Here is an 11,053-nt window from a genome sequence, read left to right on the forward strand (position 1 = left end):
CCGCCCTCCCTCAGCCCACCGGCGGCGGCGGGCCCGCTCTAGAAAGGGAAACTGAGGCTCTGAGGAGCCGCCCCGCGCGGGCCCGCGGCAAGTTGGGGGTTGCCGGCGTAGCTGTGGTTACCGTGACTTGGGTGTGGCTCTTGGGCGGAAAGCCCCCGGGCCCAAGGCTGGGACGGAGAGGGGCAGCAGGGGCAGTGAAAGAGCTGCTGGGGATTGGGGTCTGCCCCTGCCTGCTGTGTGACCTCAGGCAAATCGCCTCCCCTCTCTGCGCTTGCCTTTAGCGCCCGCGAGTCTTGTCTTCCACGCTGAAAAAGGCGCTTTAAGTCTCCTTCTTAGTCGGGAGGGCCTTCAGTTCCGTCCTTGGAAAATCAGGGATAATTCCTGTCCCCGAAGGTCGTGGTGAGACAAAATAGGATACAAAAATTAGGTAAGAAAGCGCTTTCGGCCGGGCGCGGCGGCTCATGCCTGTAATCTCAGCACTTTGGAAGGCCTAGGCAAGCAGATCACCTGAGGTCAGGAGTTCGAGACCTGCCTGGCCATCATGGTGAAACACCCCCGCACCCCCCCCCCCGCCCCGTCTCTACTAAAAATACAAAAATTAGCCGGATGTGGTGGGGCAAGCCTGTAATCCCAGCTACTCTGGAGGCTGAGGCAGGAGAATCGCTTGAACCCGGGAGGCAGAGGTTACAGTGAGCTGAGATCTCGCCACTCCATCTCAAAACAACAAAACAACAACAACACGCTTTGGAAACTCTCCAGACTGTCTGTATGGACAAAGTGTAGACCTAGCAAGAGCACATAGTAGGAGCTTTATTAGTACTGCTCTGGGTTGCTGAGCCCTTTAATGTGTCAGGATGGACCCCAGTGAGGTCCCTTGTTAGTCTCAGCATCCCTTTGGCATAGGTACCATTCCTGCACCTTTGGGCTCAGAGACCACAGACCACTCACCCAAGACCACCAGCTGGAAGTGGTGGAGTAGGCAGGAGCCTGGAATCCCCTTGGGTCTCTGTGCCCAAGTTCTGTAGAGTGGCCACACCGTGGCCACCTCCCTGGGCTCTTTCGGTCCTTGGAGGCACTTACTATGGGAACTGGGCAACATCTGTTCACAGCTTGCCCCACTTACCCCACTGGGCAGTGTCCCAGAGGTCAGGGGCTGGCTGGCTGTCTCTGGGTGCTTGGTTGGAGCCTGTCCTGGGGGCTGTCCACTGTCTGTGTGTCTTTCTGCACACCTGTGCTGACACCTGCGGCGCTGTGTGTGTTGGGCAGTTGGGTCAGATGTAGAGCCTCTGGAGTTTGGAGAACGCATTAACACCATGGGAGGAAGTGGAGCCATTTCTCCTAGGAAGCCCCCCGGGGCATCCCATCTGGTAACCCCCCAGCAGAGCTGCTTCCCTGTCACCTGCTGTCTGAAGGGGGATAATGTGCAGGGAATTCCGGGTGGGGAGACATATTTGTCAGGTGGAAGGGAAGATGGGGGCAGTTTATGAAGACATCGGGCTGGCATCGGAATGTTGATGTCCTCAGACAATCTTTTAGTAGGGCAATTTGGGTAGTACTTACTCATATTATAAATGTTCAGACACTTGTGGCCGGGTGCGGTGGCTCATGCCTGTAATCCCAACACTTTGGGAGGCCAAGGTGGGCGGATCACGAGGTCAGGAGATCGAGACCATCCTGGCTAACACGATGAAACCCCGTCTCTACTAAAAATACAAAAAAAAAAAAAAAAAAAAAAAAATTAGCCGGCGTGTTGACGGGCGCCTGTAGTCTCAGCTACTCAGGAGGCTGAGGCAGGAGAATGGCGTGAACCTGGGAGGTGGAGCTTGCAGTGAGCCGAGATCGGGCCATTACACTCCAGCCTGGGTGACAGAGTGAGACTCCGTCTCAAAAAAAAAAAAAAATGTTCAGACACTTGTAACTGTGGCCCAGAAATTCCATTTGTAGATCTTTATCCTACGCACCAGAGTGCAAAGATATGCATGCATCTAATGGTGTTTGTGGACAAACTGTTCCTAATAGCAAGCAATGGCACCAAAGTGATAACCAAGAGCGATGCAGGAGAGTGACGGGAAGGATTTTGCTTTTTGTTTTACACATGGCTGTATGGTTGAAGTTGGAGTATTAGAATGAATTCATGCCTTGGTTTTGTTGAAAAGAAAGGAAGGGCCGGCCTGGCGCAGTGGCTCATGCCTGTAATCCCAGCACTTTGGGAGGCCAAGGCAGGTGGATCACTTGAGGCCAGGAGTTCGAGATCTGCCTGGCCAACACAGCAAAACCACCATCTCTACTAAAAATACAAAAATTAGCTGGGCATGGTGGCAGGCGCCTGTAATCCCAGCTACTCAGGAGGCTGAGGGAGGAGAATCCCTTGAACCCGGAAAGCGGGGGTTGCAGTGAACCGAGATTGTGCCACTGCACTCCAGCCTGGGCAATAGAGCAAGACTCTGTCTCAAAAAAAAAAAAAAAAAAAAAAAAAAGAAAATAAAAGAAAAAATAAAAAGAAAGGAAGGGCCCCTTCATCACCACTGCCCTGCCCTCATTCCACCAACAGCTTGTGATGCCAATGCCCATCTCCCAGGGGCTGCCCCGGAGAGCACAGGTGGTCACTGCAAAGCCGATGTCAAACCTCATGTGTGTGCATGGATGTGGCTTCTCTATCAGTCAGTGTCAGGCAGTCCTCTTTACTCTAACCCCTGCTGGAGCCTTCTGGAATTAGGTTGGGGACCTTTTAAATGCTTTTGTTTCCAGATGCATAGATGATGATTCTCTTTTATCCTTGGAACAACACAGAATTAAAGATAATCACTCCATTTTACAGATGAGAAAATTGAGGCCCAGAGAGGTAAAGGACTTTTTAAAGACCCTACAACATATATTGGTGGTAAAGCTGAGACTTGAACCTGGACCTGTCTGACTGTGAGGCTGCTCCTGACTTCTGAGTGTGTGTGTGTTGGGGGTGGGGAGAGCCACAGTCCCCAGGAGTGTGCCTGCCCTCTGGGACCTCTGAGGAAGGAAAACTTTCCACCTGCTTCTCTCCAGACCATAATTTCCCAGCCGTCAGCCAACCTCAGTGGTCTGAAGCTATTGCCACTTCTTTTCCTCATTGCCATGTGGCCAAAGTCCATCAGTGCCAGCTACCTGGCAAGCCTTGGCCTCTGTTCCACCCCTCTGCATGCTGGCCTGAGGTTCTGGAAAGAACTCCAGGTCTGAGCTCTAGTTCCTTATCCTCCATCAACTCACTGTGATATCCTGGCAGCTCACTGCCATTTCCTGGGCCTCAGTTTCCCTATCTGTCAAATGGGGATAATGATTTTCTTTCCAGGTTTCCCAGATTTTTTGAGCCATCAATGACTTGCGAGATATGAAAGTTCATTGGAAGCTATCCAGAGAAATACAAATAGCAATTATCTTCCTGGTACATTTAACAACCAGGTGTGGCCCGTGCACTTAGCTGGGAGCTGGATCTCCCCAGGGCAGGGGCTCCCAGGGGGCTGCTTAGCTGGGAAGGTGGGTTCAGGCTGCCAGTCCTTGTGCATCCCCTCCTCAATTTAAAGAAGGTTGCCATCCCTCCCTGATTTTAAGAACTGTTCCTCCATGTAAGTAAAGCCATCACACACAACTGTACCAGATTCTAGTTTATGTATGTATATACCTGTATATAAAACTAAAAACCAACTGACCATGCTTGTCTGAGAGAAGAAGAGGCAGTTAAAGGAGACTTTCACTATAGCTCTAAAGTTTTTTTTTTTTAAAGCAAATATGACATGTTTACAGTTATGGATTCTAGATGGTGTGAATAGGAGTGTTACATTAATTTTTGTATTCTTTTACATGTCTGGAAAAAAAACCCATTGTAGAAAAACTGAGAGAAAAACAGAAAAGTATAAAGCAGAAATCAGGCAGGGCACAGTGGCTCATGCTTGTAATCCCAGCACTTTGGGAGGCCAAAGCAGGTGGATCACCTGAGGTCAGGAGTTTGAGACCAGCCTGTCCAACAAGGTGAAACTCCATCTCTACTAAAAATACTAAAATTAGCCAATGTGGTGGCAAGTGCCTGTAGTCCCAGCTACTTGGGAGGCCGAGGCAGGAGAATCGCTTGAACCTAGGAGGCAGAGGTTGCAGTGAGCCGAGATCGTGCTACTGCACTCCAGCCTAGGCGTCAGAGCGAGACTGTATACCTCCGTTCACATTTTTGAAGTTTTTTGTGCCTTTCTTTCTTTCTTTTCCCCCTCCCTTCCTCCGTTCCTCCCTTCCTCCCTTCCTTCCTTGCTTTCTTTTCTTTCTTTCTTTCTTTCCAGATGGAGTCTTGCTCTATCATCCAGGTTGGAGTGCAGGTGCCATCTCGGCTCACTGCAACCTCTGCCTCCTGGATGCAAGTGATTCTCCTGCCTCAGCCTCCCAAATAGCTGGGACTACAGGCAGAAGCCACCATGCCCGGCTAATTTTTGTATTTTCTAGTAGAGACGGGGTTTCACCTCTTTGGCCAGGCTGGTCTTGAGCTCCTGACCTCAGGTGATCTGCCTGCCTTGGCCTCCTAAAGTGCTGGGATTACAGGTGTGAGCCACAATGACCCCCCACCCCCCGCCTCTTTTTTTTTGAGACAGAGTCTCACTCTGTCGCCCAGGCTGGAGTTCAATGGCTCAATGTCGACTCACTGCAACCTCTACCTCCCAGACTCAAGCAGTCCTCCCACCTCAGTCTCCCAAGTAGCTGGGACCACAGGCACATGCCACCACACCAGGCTAATTTTTTTTTTTTTTTTCCGTAGAGACAAGATCTTACTATATTGCCCAGGCTGGTCTCGAACTCCTGGCCTCAAGCAATCCTCCCACCTCAGCCTCCCAAAGTGCTGGGATTATAGGCGTGTGCCTGGCTTTATGTTTTGTTTTGTTTTGTTTTCTGTGCGCATATGTTATCTTTTTCTTTCTCCTCTGAGACTTCTGCTGCCTGGCTCTACTCTGCTGTGCCTCCCCATCACCTTCATCTTCTATCTTCCCTGTCACCTCCCTTCATCCATCCGGGACTTGGGTTTCTGTCCTAATATCCTGCTCATCCGTGTGAATGTCCCAGGGCCCTTCCTTGCCATCCTCAGTGGCCTTCACATGACTGTAGCTATTCTCTCCAGAGCCACGCCTAGAACAGCCTTCTCTGAAATCCCAACCTCAAGCATCACCAAGTTCTCCCCAGCAGCATGCCCGTATTCAGACTCCCCATGCCGGCCCCTTCTGTTTTCTTCCATTCAGTTAGCCCTGTCCTGGCCTCTTCACCACCAAGCCTAAACCACAGGGTTGAGCGTCTGAAGTCCAGCTCAGTTGTCCCAGTGAGAGATGAGGCCTGTAGGGGGACTTGGACTTGGACCAGAATGGTAGCTGTCAAGATGGAGAGAGGGGAGATTTGAGATATGTAACTCATATGCACATTAACGTCAGAAGAGCACTGTTCTAAGTCCTCTCACCTCCATAGAATTTTTTTTTTTTTTTTTTTTTCTGAGACGGCGTCTTACCCTGTCACCCAGGCTGGAGTGCAGTTGGCACCATCTCGGCTCACTGCAACATCCACCTCCTGGGTTCAAGCGATTCTCCTGTCTCAGCCTCCTGAGTAGCTGGGATTACAGGTGCCCACTACCACGCCTGGCTAATTTTTGTATTTTTAGTAGAGATGGGGTTTCGCCATGTTGGCCAGGCTGGTCTTGAACTCCTGACCTCAGGTGATCCACCCACCTCGGCCTCCCCAAGTGCTGCGATTACAGGTGCAAGCCACTGCACCCGGCCCATATAAAAAAATTTTAAAAATCAGTATAGAATCAAGCAGGGTTAAAAGAAAAATAAATAAAATCAATCCTCTCCCTCCTTATTCCTCCCAGCTCTACAAGGACTCTCCATCCCTCATCCTCTCCCTTTCATCTGCTTTCGTTCCTCAGCCTACAAACTCACCCAAGTCTCTTTTGTCCTAAAAAGCACAACCTCCTCTTGACCCTCTTTACATTCCTAGTTACTGCTTTTTCACTTCTTTTCCTTTCTCCCTGCAAACCTCTGGAATGAGTTATCTTTATTTGCTGTCTCCACCTTCCCAACTCCCACTTCCTCTTCAGTTCATAGCAGCGTGGCTTCAGCTTCAGCAAAAGAGTCGTTGCCAGGGTCACCAGTGACTTCTAATTTGGCTAATTCCGATGGAAGCATTTCAGTCCTTAAGTTGTTATTATTAGCCACTCTCCCTGCATCTCTTTCTGGAGCTTCCTCCTGCCTCTCTGGTTGTTCCTTCTCAGTCTCCTTTTGTGGACTTTTTGTCATCAGCTCACCCTTGGAATTCCTAGTTTTTCTGTGTATCCTTTCTGCTTCCTTTACTTTTCCCATCAGTTGGCTTGTGCACTCTCACAGCTCTCCTTTTATATGATGAGTGTCAAATCACTATTCCCAGACTAGATTCTCCTCTTAGCATTGGACTCAGATATCCAACTACCTTACCTTTCCACCTGGGTGTCCCTTCACCACCTGAAGCTCAGCAGGCACAAACTGATCACTTCATCTTTCCCCCCAAACTGTGTTTTCCTATCTCAATTGGTGGCGTCGTGATGTACCGAAGCCCAAACCTGGGAGTTGTTCTTTACTCTTCCCTTTCTTTCTACATAAAGTCAATCACCAAGTCCCGTCCATAAATATTTATGTAATGAGTGACTTCCTCTTTGTCTCTGCCCTTGTTCATGTAGCGTCTCTTTGCCCACCAATTATTTTTCCACACTACTGAGTAATCTTCCTTTTTTTTTTTTTTGAGACAGAATCTCACTCTGTCTGCACCCCAGCCTGTACCCCAGGCTGGAGTGCAATGGGGTGGTCTCGACTCACTGCAACCTCTGCCTCCCGGGTTCAAGCGATTCTTCTGCCTCAGCCTCCTGAGTAGCTGGGATTACAGGTGCCCGCCACCACACCCAACTAATTTTTGTAATTTTAGTAGAGACGGGGTTTCACCGTGTTGGCCAGGCTGGTCTCGAACTGCTGACCTTATGATCTGCCCGCCTCAGCCTCCCAAAGTGCTGGGATTACAAGCATGAGCCACCGCACCCGGCCACTACTGAGTAATCTTCTTAAGTATAAATCAAATCATGATATTCTTCTGCTTAAAACCAGTAACATGAGAGAAATGAAAGGCCAGGCACACTGCCTCATGCCTGTAATCCCAGCACTGTGGGAGGCCAAGGTGGGAGGATCATTTGAGTTCAGTTTGAGACCAGCCAGGGCAACATAGGGAGACCCCATCTCTACCCTCCCTCCCCCACGAATTAGCTGGGTGTGGTGGCACCTGTGGTCCTAGCTACTTGGGAGGCTGAAGTGGAAGGACTGCTTGAGCCCAGGAGTTCACAGTGAGCTAACAGAGTGAGATCTTATCTCTTAAAAAAAAAAAAAAGAAATTAAAGAAGACCTAAGTAAATAGAAAGACATCCTAAGTTCATAAATTGGAAGACTTAATATCATTAAGATGGCAATTCTCCCAAATTGATCTACAGATTCAATATAATCCCTATCAAAATCCAAGCTGCTCTGGAGGGAGGTTGAGAGAGGGGTGAGAGTTGAAAAATAACCTGTCAGGTACAATGTTCACTATTTGGACACTGGGTACAATAGAAGCCTGATCCCCATCAGTATGCTATATACCCATGTAACTACAAGCACATGTACCCCCTAAATCTAAAATAAACTAGTTAAAAAATAAAAACTGCCTTTTTTTGCAGAAATTGGTAAACTGATCCTAAATTTATATGGAAATACAGAAGATACAGAATAATCAAAACAATCCTGAGAAAGAAAATAAAAGTTGAAGAACTCACACTTCCCAATTCTAACTTACAATAAAGTTAAAATAATCAAGACAATGTGGTACTGACATAAGGATGGACATATGGATCAATGGAATAGAACTGAGAGTCCAAAAATAAAGAAACCAGAAATAAACGAGGAATAAAAATACACACATGGTCAATTGATCTTTTTCTTTTCAGTTTTTTGGAGACAGGGTTGCTCTGTTGCCCAGGCTGGAGTGCTATGGCTTGATGATAGGTCACTATAGCCTTGAATTCCTGGGCTCAAGCAATCCTCCGCCTCAACCTCCCAAGTACCTAAGACTCTCGGTGCATACTACTGCGCTCAGCTAATTTAAACAATTATTATTATTTTTTTTTTGTACAGACAAAGTCTCATTATGTTGCCCAAGCTGGTCGCAAACTCCTGGCTTCAAGTGATCCTCTTTCCTTGGCCTTTCATAGTGCTGGGATTACAGGTGTGAGCCACCATGCCTGGCCTTGGTTAACTGAGTTTTGACAAGGATGCCAAGATGATTCAAGGGAGAAATAATAGTCTTTCAACAAATGGAGCTGGGACAATTGGGTATCCCATGCAAAAGGATGAAGCTGGACCCCTAACTCATACTATGTACAAAAATACACTCAAACTGAATCAAAGACCTAAATGTAAGAGCTAAAACTATAAAACTCTTTTAAGAAAACATAGACGTAAGTCTTTGTGACCTTGGATCAGACAATGATTTCTTACTTATGACACTAAAAGCACAAGCAACCAAAGAAAAATAGGTAATTATGATTTCTTTGAAATTAAAAACTTTTGCGCTTCAAAGGACACTATCAGGAAAGTAAAAAGATAACCCATCAAAAATATTTGCAAGTCATACATCTGATAGACATCTAGTATCCAAAATACACAAAAAAGTCTTACGATTCAACAACAAAAGGACAAATAACCCAACTGAAAAAGAGGCAAAAGATTTTAATAAACATTTATCCAAACAAGAAACATAGATGGCTAAGAAGTATAGGAAAAGATGCTCAATATCATTCGTCGATAGGGAAATACAAATAAAAACTACAATAAGATACCACTTCATATTCACTAGCATGGCTATAACCAGAAAGACAGACAATAACAAGTGCTGGTGAAGATGTGGAGAAATTGGAACCCTCACATACTACTGATGAGAATGTGAAACAGTGCGAGCACTTTGGAAAACCATATGGCAGTTCCTCAAAAAATTAAACATAAGCCTGGGCCACATAGTGAGACCCCATCTCTACAAAAAAATTTAAAAATTAGCCAGGTATGGGTGATATGCAGCCGTGGTCCCAGCTCCTTGGGAGGCTGAGGTGGAAGGATCACTTGAGCCCCGGAGATCAAGGCTGTAGTAAGCCGTGATCCCACCACTGCACTCCAGCCTAGGCGACAGAGCCACCCTGTCTCCAAAAAAAAGAAAAAAAGAAAAAAGAAAAAACGAACAAACATAGAGTTATCATATGACCCAGCAATTTCATTCCTAGGTATATTCTCAAGAGAACTGAAGACATATTCATACGAAAATTTGTATATGAATGTTCAGAGCAGCATTGTTTACGATTGTATCACCACAACCAGACAGGAACCCACACTCTCTGCCTTCTTCCCTGTTACCATAAATGAAGTCCTCTCGCTACTTTCTAAGGCTAACTCTCACCTTGTCAAGGGCTTTGCTTCTGCAACTACATGCTTTTTCTCCTGCAACACCAGATAATCTCTCTCTCTCCAATAGAGCATTCCAATCAATACATAAACATGTTATATATTTACATCTTAACAACACAACATGAAACAACAAAACTTCCCTTGACTCTACTTGCCCTCCAGCTACTACTGGTTTTCCCCACTTCATTCCTCCTTCCTCAAATCTCATCACTCTTCAACCCACTCTCTTTAGGCTCCCAACCTCACCACTCCACTGAAACTGCTCTTATCAAGAATGCCAACATCTTTCATGCTGCCAAATCCAGTGGGCACACTAGTCTGTTGTCACCTTAACCTGTCAGCAATGGTCAACCAAAATGACCACTTTCTCCTGCTTAAAACATGCTGCTTTTTTTTTTTTTTTTGGAGAGTGAGTCTTGCTCTGTTGCCCAGGCTGGAGTGCCGTGGCGCGGTCTTGGCTCACTGCAAGCTCTGCCTCCCGGGTTCAGGCCATTCTCCTGCCTCAGCCTCCCCAGGAGCTGGGACTACAGGCATCTGCCACCATGCCCGGCTAATTTTTTGTATTTTTAGTAGAGATGGGGTTTCACCGTGTTAGCCAAGATGGTCTCAATCTCTTGACCGCATGATCTGCCCGCCTCGCCCTCCCAAAGTGCTGGGATTACAGGCGTGAGCCACCATGCCTGGCCTGAGACTCTGTCTTAAAAAATATATGTATAGATAGATAGATAGATAGATAGATAGATAGATAGATAGATAGATTTTTTTTTATCTACAATTAGTTGAATCCACAGATATGGAGGGCCAACTTTATGTATCTCCAGCTCTGACTTCCATGTTCCAAATGTGTGTACCCAACTGCCTACTTGTCATCTCTACCTGAATGCCTAATGGCCATCTGAATGTAAAACCCCCAAGAAGAGCTCTTAGTTCCATGCCCCTGAATTCATTCTTCCTCTTTTCAGTAATTGGCACTATCATCTATATAGTTGCTCAAGCCAAAGGCCTAAAGGCCATTAGTGATTCCTCCCTTTTTCTCGTTCTTTACATTCTATCCACCTGCAAGTCCTGCTGTTCTAGTTCCAAAATACCTATGAAATCAAACAGCTTCTCTCCATTTCCGTCATCACTCCCTTCATCCAGCAGCCTCCTAACTGGTACCTCTACCTCCACCTCTACAATTCATTTTCCATGTAGCAGCCAGAGTGATTTTTCAAAAACATCAATCAAGTCATATCAATGCCTGCTTTTACTGGGCTCTGTAAGTCTTCACCAAGGCCCACAATTTCCAGCATGCTCTGGCTCCCACCCACCTCTCTCATATCGTAGCCCTCCAGTCCCCTCTTTAATTACCACACTTCGGCCACACTGCTGTCTCTCTTTTTCTTTCAACACACCCAAGTGGTTTCCATCTTAGGATCTTTGCCTTTGCATCCCTCTGCCTTCAGTACTCTGCCCTCAATCCTCACTGAGCTTTCTGTCTCACACAGACTCAATCAGTGCTGTTCAATAGAACTTTCTGTAATGAGGGAAGTGTCCTTTATCTGCACTGTACA

At 46.9% G+C, this 11,053-nt stretch overlaps 1 long non-coding RNA gene across 1 annotated transcript; it reads right to left on the minus strand.

Moving 5' to 3' along the window:
- Positions 111-1,654, minus strand: LOC105378632 (uncharacterized). The gene is made up of 3 exons (XR_947161.3): positions 1,561-1,654; positions 1,124-1,286; positions 111-381 (listed from the first exon to the last, which is right to left on the minus strand). It is a non-coding gene; the product is annotated as an uncharacterized LOC105378632 (long non-coding RNA).
- Between the last annotated feature and the right edge of the window lie 9,399 nt (positions 1,655-11,053).

The sequence above is a fragment of the Homo sapiens genome, chromosome 1 (assembly GCF_000001405.40).
Source record: "Homo sapiens chromosome 1, GRCh38.p14 Primary Assembly".
Lineage (NCBI taxonomy): Eukaryota > Metazoa > Chordata > Mammalia > Primates > Hominidae > Homo > Homo sapiens.